The following is a 17,633-nucleotide window of genomic DNA, read 5'->3' as shown; positions in this document are numbered from 1 at the left end:
ATTAGCATCCCCAAGAGGTCACTTAGGAAACAGACCATTTTGAAACCAGAAACTAATAAAATCAAAACATGTGCCCGGGAAACTCACTTGGACTGCCCAGGGAGGTGGCCCAGGCTGGCAGGAGGCCACCATGGCAGATATTAAAAACACACAACAGAGTGGAGATGCTGGAGATCTTTCAGATGGAGCCAGCTTGAGGGTGCGGAGACCTCAAAGACAGAAGTGGGTCTCTGAGCCAGCAAAGCTGCTGTTAAAGTGGGTCTGGGGGCGCCACTCAACCTGCCCTTAGACACACGGGCTTGGAGTTTGCTTCTTAGGAGAGAGGACCACTGAGGGCAGGCTGCATTTGAAATTCTGTTAAAATACAACTTAATAGGGCCCCTGCTGCCAATGCAGAGGCTGAGTCAAAGGCTTGTTTTCCTGCTCAATTTTCTGTAATTTATTCCAGCTATTCTGGTTCCCTTTGCCAAAGAAAAACTGCGTATGAACCAATGCCACGTGTTGGTTATACTGACATCATTCTCTTGTAGACCGATCTCACAGAGCTAACTCATTACAGAAACATGTCCTGGCAAACAGCCTGCACTAAGGATTTGGATGTCTCGTGTTCAGGTGGTTCTACTCTGCTTGGAGTCCCCAGGGCAGTGTCTTAAAGTGAGGGCCTGGACTATTTGCATTGGAATCACCTGATGAGGTGCGTGTTTAAAAAAACAACATAGGTCCCTAAGTTTTACCACAGACTTGCTGAACCTGCATTTTTATTAATTTTGAGGCAGAGTCTTGCTCTGTCACCCAGGCTGGACTGCAGTGGCGCAATCTCGGCTCACTGCAACCTCCGCCTCCCAGGTTCAAGCGATTCTCTTGTCTCAGCCTTCCGAGTAGTTGGGACCTCAGGGGCCTGCCATCACGCCCGGCCTTTTTTTTTTTTAAGTAGAGACAGGGTTTCGTCATGTTGGCCACACTGGTCTCGAACTCCTGACCTCAGGTGATCTGCCTGCTTCGGCCTCCCAAAGTGCTGGGATTATAGACATGAGCCACCGTGAAAAAATATGCAGGCCTGAACCTGCATTTTTAATATGCTGTCTGAGAAATAAATGCAGGCCTGAACCTGCATTTTTAATATGCTGTCTGAGAAATAAATGCAGGCCTGAACCTGCATTTTTAATATGCGGTCTGAGGATTCTCTTGGGCATTAAAGTTTGGAAACCATGGGCTCAGTTAGATGGATCTAGAGAGAGAATACTACAACTTTTAGAGGCATTTCTGTAAAGACTCACAGGAGTTTGGAAACAACAAGAAATTTAGGCTCCTCAAGTGTAACCTCCTTTGCCCTAAGAGGAAAAACAAAAACTCGTGACTGGAATTTTCTTCTGCTTTCTAGTTGGCTTGCTATAAACGCAGCTTGTTCTTCACCTGTCTGGGGAACTGAAATAAGTACAGATCCTGATTTATTGTAACTAATCCAAAACAGGTGTGCATTTTACAGCTGTGTTTTATTTTGAGGAGTAGTTCAGTGGCAGGAATTTGGGTGGCAGCAGGGGAGGCTGGTGAGAGGAGGGTCACTTGGCAATAAGGTGGGTTTTAGTCTCTGTAACAAATCTACTGCCTGCTGTTGGAGCTGAATGCGAGACATGGCCTCTGTTGGTCTTTGTTGGTCTTCTTTGGCTATGATAGAAGATGAATTTGCATCTCTGAAAGGAGATGGAAAAAGCATTGAACTAACCCAATCATATATCAAGACAAATGATAAAGCTGTGGTCATGAGATAGTGTGGGAGTTGCCGTACATAAGTAGATAAACCAAACTGAGGAAAGAGTACAGAATCCAATACTGGAATTTGGTTTATGGATAGAAATAGTCTTTCAACTTGTAGGGAAGAGACAAGTGCTTCAATGCTGACACAATTAGCCACCATATGGAAAAGATATCAGTACCTTACAATGGACCCCCAATAAACTGATGTTATTTGATCTCTGAGTTAAAATTTTTAAAAAACTATAAAGTACTGAAAAAATTTTTCAAAATGATTTTCATGATCTTGAGAGATATAAGATCTTCTTGGGAAAATAATAGGCCTGGTGCAGTGGCTCACGCCTATAATCCCAGCACTTTGGGAGCCCGAGGCAGGTGGATCATGAGGTCAGGAGTCCTAGACCAGCCTGGCCAATATGGTGAAATCCCATCTCTACTAAAAATACAAAAATTAGCCGGGGCGTGGTGGTGCACGCCTGTAGTCCCAGCTACTCGGGAGGCTGAGGCAGAAGAATTGCTTGAATCCGGGAGGCAGAGGTTGCACCACTGCACTCCAGCCTGGGTGACAGAGCAAGACTCCATCTCAAAAAAGAGAAAGAAAGGAAGAAAGGAAGAAAGAAAGAAAGAAAGGAAGGAAGGAAGGAAGGAAGGAAGGAAGGAAGGAAGGAACAAAAAAGAGAAATATCAATAATTTTGATTACATCAAATTAAAATTTTTCTATAGAACAAAAATACCACTAAGAAAATTAAAGTGATACACTTTTTATGTAGGACATTGTAATAGACAAAGATTAATTTCCAGGGTATATAAAAATCAAATAGATAAAACATCCGTAACAATTGAATTATTTTTAAAAGGTAAATATATACAAAGTTTATGGAAGAGATAAATGGTCAATAAATATGCAAGAAGTTGCTCAACCTTATGAGTAATTAGGAAAATACAAATTTTAAAGATATAACATCTTTCATCAGATAGATAAAAAAATTAAAAGTACAGTACCAAGCTGATATTATAAGGAAATGGGTACATTGCCAGTAAGATTAATTTGGCAAAATCTCTTTAAAAATCTCTTAAAATCTCTTAAAACTGAAAAGGGCATTAGCCATGATGCAGCAGTTTCACTTCTCAATATCGACTCTTGAGAGAAGCTTGCATGAAGGCCCAAGGAAGCATGTGACATCATGTGTGTTGTAGAATTATTTCTAAGGAAACGTTTCTAAGGAAATGTTCATGGGTAACTGGCTAAATAAAATGTGGCCTGCTCAAATGATGGATGCTTCAAAACAACATAGAATTAGAAAGGTACACTGAAGAATAATACATACAATACGATACAATTTATGCCCCCCAACCATTCCATAGTAGTATATGTTATTTGTATATACATATATAAACACATAAAATTATTTTTTAGATCTGGAAGAATACATTCAAATGATAGGATTAACTCTGGAGAGGGAAGCAAGGAACCTAACATTTGGAGGGGTGATTAATGTTTTTAAATGTTTAAGGAAATTATTTTTACTGATAATATTGAAAACTTTTAAAAAAATTTTTTTTAAAAAAGGAAGACATAAACTGGGAGCTAGATTTTAGTTCTGGTTCTGCCATTAACCAACTGTATATCCTTGGGTAATTTCCTTTCCTCTCTTTGGGCCTCTTTCCTCAGTGTAAACTGAAGGGGTCAAACATGAAGATCTGTTAATTTCCGAGGCAGTGAGGTCCTGTGAATCCCTAATTTTACATCAGCTGCCAAAATAAATATCAAACAAAGTGGAAGAGACTGTGGCTTTCATGGTAAGGAAAGTCTGTCTAAGCAAAAAGGAAAAAAAAAAAACCTGATGATGTAAGAATTTTGCACAAAAACCCCCACCATAAACTGATATTAAAAACAAATAAAAACTTAGAAAAGCACTTGTGATGTACAAAGAAAGTGATGTAAGAAAAGATGAATAGCTTAATAAAAAATGAACAGGGCCAGGTGTGGTGGGTCATGCCTGTAATCCCAGCACTTTGAGAGGCCGAGGTGGGCGAATCACCTGAGGTCGGGAGTTGGAGACCAGCCTGACCAACATGGAGAAACCCCATCTCTACTAAAAATACAAAATTAGCTGGGTGTGGTAGCGCATGTCTGTAATCCCAGCTATGTGGGAGGCTGAGGCAGGAGAATCGCTTGAACCAGGGAGGCAGAGGCTGCAGCGAGCTGAGATCGCACCACTGCACTCCAGCCTGGGCGACAAGAGCGAAACTCCATCTCAAAAAAAAAAAAAAAAGAACAAAGACATCAAATACGCAATTCATGAAATTCATCATAAACTTATCAACTCCATTCCTTTCTGCCTTCCTCCTTTCCTTCCTTTCTCAATTTTCAGAGATTGTTCTTAATGTGATGATACTTCATGCTAATAAGACTGTATGGAAACAGATTTTTCTCTTACACTGCTGGCAAGAGTGCAAATTAGTACAACCCTTCTGGATGTCAAATTGGTGATATTTACTAATCCTTTAACATGTAAATTTTGGCCCTGTAATTAGCCTAATAAAATTATCAGAAGTATAAATAGAGCCATCGGGACAAGAGTCTTTTCATTGTAGCATGGTTCACAATAATGAAACACTGAGAACAATCTAACAATGGAGGAATGGTAAAATATATTATGGTACAATATTCTTTGGACTATGCAGGCATTAAAAATCATGCCTTGAAAATATTTAAAGATATTTTTTAAATGCTTGGAAACAATTTACAAAGCAATATATATGTTGTTTCTTCCCTTGAGAAACTTACAGGTTCATGAGAGAAAGAGTAATCTCTTTGCCTGTGGTCACACCATTTGTTTATTGGCAGAACCAAAGCTACAGTCCTGGTCATTTTCTCAGCTTAATGCCCTTATACCTCACACCAATTCTAGCCTAAATGAGTCAGTCTCAAAGTCACTTCTTTCACTCTTACCTAAGGTAACTGACAATACATTTCATGGTTTTAAAAACAAAATGTCTCTGTTCCCCCTTTCTAGCTGTTTCACAACATGAGCTCCACTCTGTTTTACTGGAAAAATAGGATGCATATTATAATACTACAGCTTTTAAAAATCCTTTAAGAGACGAAAAGCCAGCAAGAGAATGTTTTTCTTTGATCACTGAGGGAATAGTGTGATCATGAGCAGATATTGAAAGTTAGATGCTAGATAGGAGCCCCTCAAAAGTCCAAGGGCTCTAAAAATGAGTGTTGTAAAAAAAATTGAGCCAATAGATATGGATATCATTTCCTTTCTTATATTTCTAGGACCATATATGGTAAGACTGTATTATATGAGCTGCCAAATTCCCCCAGGGGGAGCATCACTCTGTAATCCTAAGGTGCTATGGGCTAATGTTTGTAACCCCTAAAAATTTATATGTCCAAGTCCTAACCTCCAATGTGATACTATTAGCAGGTGGAGTCTGTGGGAAGTAATCGGGTTTAGATGAGGTCATGAGGCTGGGGCCCCATGACCAGATTAGAACCCTTGTAAGGAGAGACACCAGAGAGCTTGCTTCCTCTCTTCTTTCTGCCATCTGAGGACACAACGAGAAGGCAGCCACCTGCAAGTCAGGAAGAGAACCCTCACCAAGAACTCAATCAGCAGCACCTTGTCTTGGACTTCCCAGCTTCCATAACTAGAAGAAATAAATGTCTCTTATTTAAGCCACCCAATATACGGCCCTTTGTGATAGCAGCCTGAGCTGAGACATAAATTCACCCTCAGAAATTACATCCACAGCTCCAGGTAATTTGGGAGCCATTTGGTACATAAATGTAGTGAACCACTAAAGGGCATCCCTGTAGTCAAAAATAGCTTCCATGTGTACCTAATTTATACCAGAGGTTAGCCTATTCACTGGGAGGCTCTAGGTTCTTTTGAATGATGCTGATATTGTGCTTATGGCACGACACCAACTGACACTTCAGTAAGGCATTTTTCTGAAATGGAATTGTTACTTACCAAAAATAAGCAGTATGTCACAAATTACATCAGTCAGTTCTATAGTTAAAAAGACTGAAAATGAAACCATCTTGGAGGTAAATTTTTAGATCATCATCTCAACTTCTATAGGTCAAAAGTCTGCACTGATGGTAGAGAGAAACAGAAGTGTTGCCATCATCCACAAAATCATAACTGTTTATTGAATATTTGTGTGTTCCAAGTACTATATTAATGTCCAACATTTGGCATTTCTGGTAGTCCATGTAACAAAACTGTGAGCTGGCCCATAACGCTCAAAGAGGTTAATTAACATGCCCAGGGCACCTCTATCTGTAAGTGACAAAACTGGAACTCAAGCTCCATAAGAAAATCAGATCAACACAGCACAAATTGAAGCGGGTGAAGGTGAGGATGATCACTGAATGCTGACTGAGTGTAGTCAGAATAACTCAGGGGAAAGAACCCCATGGATTGGCCCCAGCATCCAGATTGTTGAAAGTACTCAATTACTCCCAAGGCAGGTGCTGATAATGCCCTGCCCCATAGCTACTCAGTCCACCTAGGTTCCCTGCAGCTGCAGGTGAAGTTTCCACCACCTGACAGCTCCCACAGCCTGAGAACTTCATGAGCTGGGAGGTTGCTTGGCCACACCAGAAAGTGGATCTGGAAGTCAGGAAAGTCCTCCACCAATGGGGGTGGGAGTTGGTAGACAGTGTCCCAGACTCCGTAGCTTCCTGTGGAGTGAGTCTAAGACATTCATCACACGATTCTTTAGAGGATCCCCAGTGATCAGGCCCCTGTTGTCCACAGCAGCCCACAGTCATTCATTCATTCCCATTTCCTGGTGGTTTTTGCTTCCATCTTATATTCCCCCTTTCTCCCCATGTTTTCTGGGATCATCTCCTGAATAAACTAACTGCATCCACTTTCTTGTCTCAGGGTCTGCTTTTGGGGGCGGGATCTTTAAGACAATTTCCTAATGCCTACCATTAAGGTTTGTTTTCCTGTCCTCCAGGACACTGAGGACAACCCCTTTTTAGATTTGACCTTAAAGGATTCTGGCCCATTCCTGAAGGCCCAGTGTTCCAATGTGGCTTATTTCATCACCCTTTCAATATTTCAGCATCCTCGCATAACCATCCAGCCCTTCCTCACACCCTCCCCAGTAGAGTCCTAAAGCTATTTTACTGACTTTAGAGCCTTTGCTGCACATCACACTGGGGTTAGATTGGCAGTATACTTCTTTATCTCCCCTGCTAGATTTTATATTCCTTGTGGGTCACTGCTGAGCTTTCTTGGGCACATACGGTATCTGACAGATCTCAATAAATGTTAAGTTGAACACTGTCATGTAATCTGATAGGTTTACCTGTTAGAGGGGATTTAAACTCAGCAAGTGTGACAACTTCAGAAGCATTGTAATCCCAAATAATAAAAAAAATCTCAATCACAGTAATTCACTTGAAGCTATTCAAAGATATAAAAATGGAAAAGTAAATCTCTCACTGGCCATTCTGGGGCATAGGCCTGCTGAGAATTAGATCTGGAAAGTCAGCATCTAACTACCTGAGAACTCAGATTGGGCAAATTCTCCAACTCTGGAAAAACAAAAATACCCTATTTCTTTTCCCTATGGAACAAAGGCAGCAGAGTGTGCCTAAGTGACCCTGCCCCCCTGAAGTAGACTGCCCATGCCCACGTAACAGTATGGTATGCAGAATAATTCCCTCCAAAGACATCCACATCCTGATTCTCAGAACCTGTGAATATGTTACTGAAGTGAATTATGGCAAAAGGGACTTTGCAGATGTGATTGAGGTTATCAACCCTGACATGGGGAAATTATCTTTGACCCAGGTGGTCCCACTTGGTCTCAAGGGTCCTTATAAGTGGAAGAGGGAGACAGGAGCATCGGTCAGAGAAGGATTTGAAGATGCTACTGTGCTGGCTTTGAAGGTCGAGAAAGGACCATGTGCCAAGGGATGCAGGCCAACTGCAGAAGCTGGACAGAGGGGATTCTCTCCCTGTATTAGTTTTCATGCTGCTGATAAAGACATACCCAAGAATGGGAAGAAAAGAGGTTTAATGGATACATAGTTCCACATGGCTGAGCAGGCCTCACAATCATGGGAGAAGGCAAGGAGGAGCAAGTTATGTCTTACATGGATGGCAGCAGGCAAAGGGAGTGCTTCTGCAGGGAAACTCCTGTTTTCAAAACCATCAGATCTTGTGAGACTCATTCACTATCATGAGAACGGTGCGGGAAAGAACTGCCCCCATAATTCAGTCACCTCCCACTGGGTCCCTCCCATGACATGTGGGAATTGTGGGAGTTACAATTCAAGATGAGATTTGGGTGGGGACACAGCCAAACCACGTCACTCCTCTGTAGCCTCCAGAAGGACATGGCCCTCCTGACACCTTAATTGTAGCCCAGTGAGATTCATGTTGGACTTCTGACCTCCCGAACTGTAAAGTAATAAATCTATGTTGTTCTGAGCCACTAAATTTGTGGTCATTTGTTACAGCAGTTATCAGAAACAGACAGAGTAGGTAATTTCAAAATAACATGCTTGAAGGCAAGTCTGGATATCCCTGGTTGGGTTTTTACTTCAGGTGTCAGAGAAGCAGCCCATTCCTCACGCAGACTGTGCAAATTCCAGTTGTCTTTGGCTTAGAAAATCTGACGTGGAAGAGAAAACAACAAGAAAAATGGCAATCTACCTGGCATGAAGCCAGCTTTGTGGAGAGTATCACACTTGGGGACTCAAGAAGCCTCAGAAGGTCAGGCCTGAGTCAGAGACTCCATAGCCAATCAACTATAGAATCCCCGGGCCCTTTCAGGATTCTTCTTAGGAAGTTTCCAAGTCCACAGAATCACTAGGAGTTCCTGGCCTGAGGACTGTGATGGGGTGGACTCCAGGAGAAAGTCTTCTGAGAAGGCCACACCCTGAATCAGACCCCTGGGAAGTCAAAGCAGCAGAGATGGAGCAAAGGATGTTGTAGCTGGGGCAAAGGATGTTGTAGCTGGGGCAGGGATCCTCTGAGCAGCCTTTAGTGCAGGGTTTCTCAACCTCCACACTACAATATTGTGGGCCAGATAATTCTTTGTTCCGGGCAGCTGCCTGTGGGTTGTAGGATGTTTAGCAGCATCCCCGGCCAGTAGCGATCTCTTCCCCTCACCCCAACCCCAGTTGTGGCTATCAAAAATGTCTCCAGACACTGCCACAGGTCCCATGGGGTGGGGATGGGGGCAAAAATCACCCCACGTTGATTAGCTTTGGCTAGATTATATACCATCACTAATCACAGTTGGGAAAGAAAATAGTTATCTCATTAAAATTAGTGCTGTCCAATAGAAATTTAATGCAAGCCAAGTATGTAATTTTTTGTAAGTACAATCACAAATTGTGCAACCAACCATTACCACTATTTAATTTCAGAACACTTTCATTATACCTGAAAGAAACCCATACTTATTAACAGTCACTTCCTCTCCCCTTCTTCCCCCAGCCCCTGGCAAATCCTACTATACTTTCTGTCTTGAATAGATTTGCCTGTTCTGGACATTTTGTATAAACGTAATCATACAGTAGATGGCTTTTGTGTGTCTGGCTTCTTTCATTTAGTGTAATGTTTCCAAGGGTCACCCATGTGGGAGAATCTATCAATACTCCTTTTTATGGCCAGATAATATTCCATTTTATGGGCACACCAGGTTTGGTTTTAGTCATGTATCAGTTAATGGACATTTGGGTGGTTTCCACTGTGTGGCCATTACGAGTAATGCTGCTATGAACATTTATGTGCGAGATCATTTTGTGGGCATATGTTTTCAAATTATCTTGGGTAAGTACCTAAGAGTGGAATTGCTGGGTAACTCGATGTGTAACCTTTTGAGGAATCATCACACTGGTTTTCAAAGCAGCTATGCCATTTTACATTCCTACCAGCAGTGTATGATGGTAAGACACTTACGTCTTTTACTTTTTTTGGAAGCCAAATTTTTAAAAAGTACAAAGATACAGGTGAAGTGAACTTTAATAATATATTTTACTAACTCAGTATAACCAAATATTTCAATATGTAAATATAAAAATTGTTAATGAGATATTTTACATTTTTTTGGTATTAAGTCTCCAAACTCTGGTGTATATTTTCCATTCATAGCATATCTCAATTTGGATGCTAATTATTCTTTGGAAATACTTGATCTGTATTTAGAGTTCATGAAATTAATTTGGAAGGGTAGATTCACATATCCAAATTGTTCCAAACCTATTAAAATTTCTCCCTAACAATATCACATATATCAGCTTTTAAATTTACATGCACATTAATTAAAATTAAAAATTCAGTTCCTCCTTCAAACTAGGCATATTTCAAGCCTCACTAACCACATGTGGCTCAAAGCTCCCAGGTTGGATAGTCCAGCTCTAAGTGATTTCTGTTGTCATTGTGATTATTTTTATATATTTTAGAGACGGGATCTCGTTTTGTCATCCAGGCTGCAGTGCAGTGGTGTGATCATAGCTCACTGCAGCCTGGAAGCTCCTGAGCTCAAGGAATCCTCCCACCTCAGCCTCCCCAGTAGCTGGGACTGCATGTACTCAGCTCTATTGTAATTTTTTAAAAGCTATTGCCCTGGGCCTCAATGTTGGTTTTCTTTCCTCTTTTACAGCTGATCCAATGACAAACTATAAATACAATCCAATGACAAAATATAAATATATATATATACACACACACACACACACACGTATATATATGTGTATATATATACACACACACTATAGTTTATACGTAATTCTTATATATAATTCTTTTTCTCTTTAATAGACTTTTTTAGAGCACTTTTAGGTTCACAGAGAAATTGAGCAGGAAGTACAGAGATTTCCCATATATGTCCTGCTCCCACAAATGCACAGCCTCCCCTACTATCTACACGGCATCAGAGACTGCATTTGTCACAATCGGTAAACCTACATTGACACATCACCATCACCCAAAGCCCATGATTTACATGAGGGTTCCCTCTCGGTGGTGCCCATTCTGTGGGTTTGGACGATGTCTAATGACACGCCTCCCCCACCATCATGTGTGATTCTGCCCTAGAGGAAGGGCGGCTTCCTGTATGGCAGTGTTCTTAGCCATGGTCTGCTGGTTTAGAACAAGTGGCAAACAGCAGCACTGGTCACCCATGAGCCCCTCCAGCCTCTCGGCCCTCAACCCTCACAGACCTTATTTCTAGTGGCCAGCCCTGCTGGGCAGCCCCCACTGCCAGGGCTTTAGTGTCCCAGTTGGCATCCTGGCAGCCATGCCACTCATTGGACGGTCTCCACTGTGTCTCTTGTATCACTTTAAAAACAACATGCCACCCTGCCTCCAGGCCATCTCTCAGGTTACCGTGGAGCTACAGGACGAAAGAGGACATGTTCCATTCATCTGTGAGGTCACAGGTTATTGGGCTTAGGAGATCTTATGTGGAATAGGAAGCTGGGGGCTCGGGAGTAGGTAGCGTTTGTCATGAGCTTTCATCATGCAAAGTCTAAGGGCTCATGTCTGCAATGAAGAGACAGCAGCACCGTCTCCCCTGGGGCAGGGATGCCACAGCCCAGCCCTCAGGGACTCCAGGTTCACACAGGACAGTGGCCCAGCCCTCAGGGGCTCTAGGTTCATACAGGACAGTGCTTCTCTTCTGGGGAGTTTGTCAAGATTCAGCGAGTCTGGGGAGGAGCCTGAGACCATGCATTTCTAACAGATTCCTAGGGATTTCTACCCTTGGTATAATGAGGGCTTAGGGCTTTCCCCAGAAAGGATTAAATATGCCCCACCCTTCCCTCCCACCTTCCTCCACCAGCTCCACCACCCCGTAGCTAATAACAGCTGACACGTATTGAAGGTAGAAATGCACGGTGCCTGGGCTAAGCACTTTGCAGCGGCTGGCTCATTTCATTATCTCAACAGCCCTGTGAGATAAAGCCTGTCAGCCAGGCTCTACGTCAGGAAGCGGCGAAGCCTTGCTTTGAATGCAGGCTGCTGACTCCAGGCTCTGTCTCTATCGATGAGGTTAAATAGCTTCCCTAATTCCATTTTAGGTCTGAGTTCCTTAGCTCTCCTCAAAACTAAAATAACTGTCGATAACAGTGGTGGCCTCTGGTGAAGGTGACTGAGTAACTGGGTGGAGAGACACAATTTTTACTATATACCTGTTCACTGCATACCTCATGAATTGTGTGTGCGTGTGTGTGTGTGTGTGAGATCTAGTCCAATAAATTAATGAATAGCTTTAAAAGACAGTTTTTAAGGCTGGGCGTGGTGGCTCAAACCTGTAATCCCAGCACTTTGGGAGGCCGAGGCTGGTGGATCACTTGAGGTCAGGAGTTTGAGACCAGCCTGGCTAACATGGTGAAACCTCGTCTCTACTAAAAATACAAAAATTAGCCAGGCGTGGTGTCGGGTGCCTGTAATCCCAGCTACTTGGGAGGCTGAGGCAGGAGAATCGCTTGAACCGGGGAGGCAGAGGTTGCAGTGAGACGAGATTGTGCCACTGCACTCCAGCCTGGGTGACAGAGCAAGACTCTGTCTCAAAAAAAGTTTTTAAAAGGCCCAGGGCCTTCACAGTTAGAACCATGTACAAGTAGCAGAGCCTACTCTCAGGGCAGGGGGATGAGACAGTGTTCACCATGTTGGGCCACCAGCATCTCCACTGAAATGGTTGGGGTTCTTCGGGCCTCATGCATGCCCCTCCCATTCTCCAGGAGTGTGCAAGGCAAAGCTGGCCTGCAACTTCCCACCAGATGATAAAGGGTACACTTAGCACCTGGTTGGCAAGGACATTTCCAGAGTAGGTAGACTTTATAACAATTCAATAAATAGTAATATTGGTTAATAATGGTGCTATTCAAAGTCAGACATGAGAATTCTTTCCCTTCGGACAGCTTGGAACAAGTCTGAATTGCTCAGTGCTTACCTTTGCTCTTTTGTGATATTATACATTGACAAAGAAGAGAAAATCAGGATAATAACCAAGAAATGATTAGACTTAGCCATTGTGGGTACCTAGATATGATTCGAATCTCAGTGTTATCTCACCTAAGCTAGTTACTGTACTCCTGAAAATGTGAATTTTAACATATTTTAAAGAAGTGCAGGTTAATTACTTCCAAATCCACATATGGAATGAATCTAATTGTTAAGAAGAGGCTCTGGCTTAACCAGTTGTTACTCGAACAACTCGAACTTGCAGTTTTCTGTGTTCCCACCCTCTTGAAGTGTTGTGTGTTAAGATTGTACCAGGCAGACCCTGCCATATGCCTGTTGAGCTGTGTATTAGTCCATTTTCATACTGCTATGAACAGATACCCGAGACTGGGTTTAATGGACTCACTGTTACACATGGCTAAGAAGACCTCACAATTATGGCAGAAGGCGAAGGAGGAGCAAAGCCATATGTTACATGGCGGCAATAAGAGAGGGTGTGCAAAGAACTCCCCTTTATAAAACCATTAGATCTTGTGAGACTTATTCACTATCATGAGAACAGCACAGGAAAACCCGCCCCCATGATTCAATTACCTCCCATGGGGTCCCTCCCACAATACATGGGGATTATGGGAGCTACAATTCAAGATAAGATTTGGGTGGGGACACAGCCAAACCATATCAAGCTGGTTCCAATGATGGGCATAAACAGGCTTGTTAACCCCCAGGCCAGATCCTTTGAATCTCCAGACCTGAGAAAAGGGAGGGCAGAGAAGCCTGTTACTTCACGGCTGGTCGAAAGGACCAACTGAAGCACAAGACACACTGATCTCGGGGATCCTAGGCAAGATCCTCAAGAGAATTAGAGGCTGGGGACCCTTGGCAGGCTGCCAGGGAGGGGACATCCCCCATGGGGTGGAAGGAGGAGCACCTGCAGGTCAGTGCCCACTCCGCGATGCTACTGTCTGTCTTATGATCAGGGCTGGTGGATCAGGATGTGGCCTTTAGTGACAGGGAATGAGAAATGAACTCTGAAGCCCATCACACTACCAGCAACCATGGTGCCTAGTTTTCTTCTCCAAACCCCTGCAGTCAGAGAGACAAGAGTGGCAGATTTCTTACCATTCTGAACCAACTCTGTGCTGGGCAGACTGCCTTTGTCTTCCACATAGATCTACCCTGAGAAGCATCCACACGAATGTCCATCATTCCAGCCCCAAAGACGATAGCTGAGCTAACACGTTTGTATTAGTCTGTTTTCATACTGCCGTAAAGAACTGCCTGAGGGTGGGCACAGAGGCTCATGCCTGTAATCCCAGCATTTTGGGAGGCCGAGGCAGCGGATCACTTGAGGTCAGGAGTTTGAGACCAGCCTGGCCAACATGGGGAAATCCCGCCTTTACTGAAAATACAAAATTAGCCAGGCTTTGTGGCGCACACCTGTATTCCCAGGTACTCAGGAGGCTGAGGCAGGAGAATCGCTTGAACCTGGGAGGCAGAGGTTTCAGTGAGCCAAGATCATGCCACTGCACTCTAGCCTGAGTGACAGAGTGAGACTCTGTCTCAAAAAAAAAAAAAAAAAAAAAAAAAAAAACCAAAAAAAAAACCCCAACTGCTCGAGACTGGGTAATTTATAAAGGAAAGGATTTAATATGACTCACAGTTCAGCATGGCTGGGGAAGCCTCAGAAAGCTTACAATCACGGCAGAAGGTGAAGGGGAAGCAAGGCACCTTCTTCACAAGGCAGCAGGAAGGAGAAATGCCAAGTGAAGCAGGGAACAGGCCCTTAGAAAACCATCAGATCTCGTGAGAAGTCACTATCATGAGAACAGCTTGGGAGAAACCGCCCCCATTGTTCAATTACCTCCACCTGGTCTCTCCCTTGATGCGTGGGGATTATAGGGATTACAATTCAAGATGAGATTTGGGTGGGGACACAAAGCCTAAACATATCAACATTTATTAAGCACTTACTTGGTGTATCAAGTACTGGAGCAAGCAGTCTCCATCCCTCACTGAGCCTATTTGTAGTGAAATTCCCTGAGCTGGAGTCCTGAGGGTGGTTGCTGAAGCATTCTTCAGGCCCTGTGTCTAACCCATTCCCAAATCCTGTCTGTTCTAATTCCGCAGTGTCTTCTGCAATGGAACTTTCCTCTCTGTATTAAATTCCAAGGGCTGCCATAACAAAGCACCCAAAACCGGGGTGCCTTCAAGCATCAGACATTTATTTTCTCACAATTGAGGAGGCACAGTCTGAAATCAGCAGACAGTTGGCAGTATTGGTTTTCCCTGGAGGTCTGAGAGAGAAGCCATCCCATACTTCTGGCCTAGCTCCAGTGGTGGCCAGAAGCCCTTGGGGGTTCCTTGGTTTGGAGCCAACATTAATCCAATCTCTGCCTCCATCATCACATGGCCTTCTTCCCTCTGTGTCTCTGTGTTCAAATTTTTCTCTTCCCATGAAGACAACAGTCACTGGATTCGGGCCCACTGTAATCCAGTATGACCTCATTTTAATGTGATTATATTTGTAAAAACCTACTCCCAAGTAAAGTCACATTCTCAGGTACCAAGGGTTAGAACTTGAACCTATTTTTGCGGGACACAATCAACCCACTCTCCATTCCCCCAGCCACCACGGTAGCCCAGGCTTCATAATTTCATCTGGGCCACTGCCATAGCTTTCTTTCTAGATCATTAACAACCTTGTCTCCTTATAGAACACCTGCCGACCCTAAGTCTTGACCACCTCCCTACACAGAATGTAAGTTTCAAGAAGACAGAGACTTTGTCTGGCGATGTTTTCCTTAGAAGCTAGGACAAGGCCAGGAACATAGACGGCTTTCAACAAGTATTTGTTGAATAAAGGAATTAATGAATGTACATGCATCAGCAGCAAATATATTGATTCTGTATCTTTCCTTGATACACTTGTCCCTTCTCTTCTCCCCCAAGTAGATTATTTCTACTGTAGCAAGTTATTTCTGTCTCTGTGCTAGCCTTTACATATAGTCATTTGTTTGCCCAGCTGGGGTGTTATTCTGTGAGCTGGGTTGGGACAGACACTAGGTCTGATTCATCTTGGAATGCGCAGAAGAAACACAGTGTCTGTCAATATTTGTTGAAAGGAATTAGATTAATGAGGCAAGACAGAAACGTGAAAAATTATATTCCCCCGCCCCCTCCAATTGACTGCCTCTACCACATTTGCAGAACTGGGGTTGGGGTGGGAGGTAGGGCAGGAGGTAAAATTGCAAATTCTGTAAGTTCCCCTTTCTGCTGATGCTTGAAAAATTATCTTTCTGAGTCAGCACAGGTATTTTGATACTGCCTTGCGATTTGGGGCATTTTTTTTTAAAGTGATGATTTAAAAACAAGTGCTTTCACATTTACCATCAAACTGATGGGGTTGGGTGGGAAAATAACCATCATGAGAACCATTTACTCCTTCATCTCTTAAATTTCTAGTTCAGGGTCTAAATCTGACCATAAACTTAAGGAACTCTTCAGTCCCTGCCTCTTCATAAGGAGATAGCAGAACATTCCACTCAGGCATGGGTTGGTCTTCATCAGAACATTCTGAAGTGGCTGGTGCTGACTGCAGGGTCTGGAAGCCTGGGCTGGTGACAAGGAATAGACTTGGCTGCACTGAATTCCACTCTCTGGACAGATTTTGCTTAGCACAGAAGTAGGCATAACTTCCAGGAGAGGGACAACCTCCCTATCATTGTCCTGCCACTAAAATCTCATTTGAAACCTTTCTCTTCTCAAGTGTACACCACCCACCCAGTCAAGTGACTATGCTTCACTGCTGATTGTGGACAGTAAATGGGAGACCATGGAGTGGGGGGCCAAAAGGACAGGCTGGAAAAAGAATGGATTGCTTTAGTGGGTTGAATCGTGTTCCCTGCAATTTTGTGCACATGGAAACTGCAGATATAATTAGCTAAGATAAGGTCATACTGGACTAGAGTGGGCCCTAAATCCAGTGACTGGTGTCCTTATAAGAAGAGGAGAGGACACACGGAAAGATATAGAGGGAAGATGGCCACATGAAGACGGAGGGAGAGACTGGAGTGATGCATCTACAGGTCAGGGAATGGCAAGGATGGCCAGGAGCCACCAGAAGCTGGAAGAGGCAAGGGAGGACCTCCAGAGGAGTGCAGCCCTGGCGACACCTTGAATGCACACTTCTGGCCTCCAGAACTGAGGGAGTAAAGCTGTGGTGTTTTAAGCTGCCCAGTTTGTGGTCATTTGCAGCCCTAGGAAACAGGTACAGTTGCCAATAGTGTAGATACAGTGAATTATTAAGAAAAAAAATGTGGGTTTTTTTTTTTCCATTTTTGTTTCTGGGACCTTCTAAAGAAGCCCAGGAAACTAGGGTTACCTCCATCTCGGGGGTGAGATGGTGATAAGGTGAAGAGAATTGTATGCAACAGAGATGAGGAAGGGGTTGTATATGATAGAGGTAGGGATGGGGTTGTATGTGATGGAGGTGGGGATGGGATTGTATGTAATGGAGGTGGGGATGGGGTTGCATGTGATGGAGGTGGGGATGGGGTTGTATGTGATGGAGGTGGGGATGGGGTTGTATGTTTTGGAGATGAGGATGGAGTTGTATATGATGGAGATAGGGATGAGGTTGTATGTGATGGAGATGTGGATGGGGTTGTACATGATAGAGATAGGGATGGGGTTGTATGTGATGGAGGTGGGGATGGGGTTGTACGTGATGGAAGCGGGGATGGGGTTGTACACGATGGAGGTGGGGATGGGGTTGTACATGATGGAGACGGGGATGGGGTTGTACGTGATGGAGATGGGGATGTGGTTGTATGTGATATAGATGGGGATGGGTTGTATCTGATATAGATGAGGGTAGAGTCATATATGATAGAGATGGGGATGGGATTGTAGGTGATGGAGAT

At 43.6% G+C, this 17,633-nt stretch overlaps 1 protein-coding gene and 1 long non-coding RNA gene across 2 annotated transcripts in view, besides 2 other annotated features; one reads left to right on the top strand and one right to left on the bottom strand.

The window, feature by feature from the left end:
• The window catches only part of ALPK2 (alpha kinase 2), a 147,845-nt gene that overhangs the window by 60,939 nt on the left and 69,273 nt on the right, over positions 1–17,633 (top strand). The gene's annotated exons all lie outside the window — the stretch shown is intronic.
• On the bottom strand, positions 1,475–11,131 carry ALPK2-AS1 (ALPK2 antisense RNA 1). Its single transcript, NR_188108.1, has 2 exons — positions 10,965–11,131; positions 1,475–1,691 (listed from the first exon to the last, which is right to left on the bottom strand). It is a non-coding gene; the product is annotated as an ALPK2 antisense RNA 1 (long non-coding RNA).
• Positions 5,334–5,463: an enhancer, noted in NCBI's record as "active region_13397". NCBI's record gives its function as "activates an Ori minimal core promoter by ATAC-STARR-seq in GM12878 lymphoblastoid cells {active_cell/tissue: GM12878}" and the evidence as "EXISTENCE:reporter gene assay evidence [ECO:0000049][PMID:35858748]".
• Positions 5,524–5,663: an enhancer, noted in NCBI's record as "active region_13396". NCBI's record gives its function as "activates an Ori minimal core promoter by ATAC-STARR-seq in GM12878 lymphoblastoid cells {active_cell/tissue: GM12878}" and the evidence as "EXISTENCE:reporter gene assay evidence [ECO:0000049][PMID:35858748]".

The sequence above is a fragment of the Homo sapiens genome, chromosome 18, assembly GCF_000001405.40.
Source record: "Homo sapiens chromosome 18, GRCh38.p14 Primary Assembly".
Lineage (NCBI taxonomy): Eukaryota > Metazoa > Chordata > Mammalia > Primates > Hominidae > Homo > Homo sapiens.
Note: the sequence above shows the minus strand (reverse complement) of the source record. Positions and strands in the feature narration are given on the sequence as shown.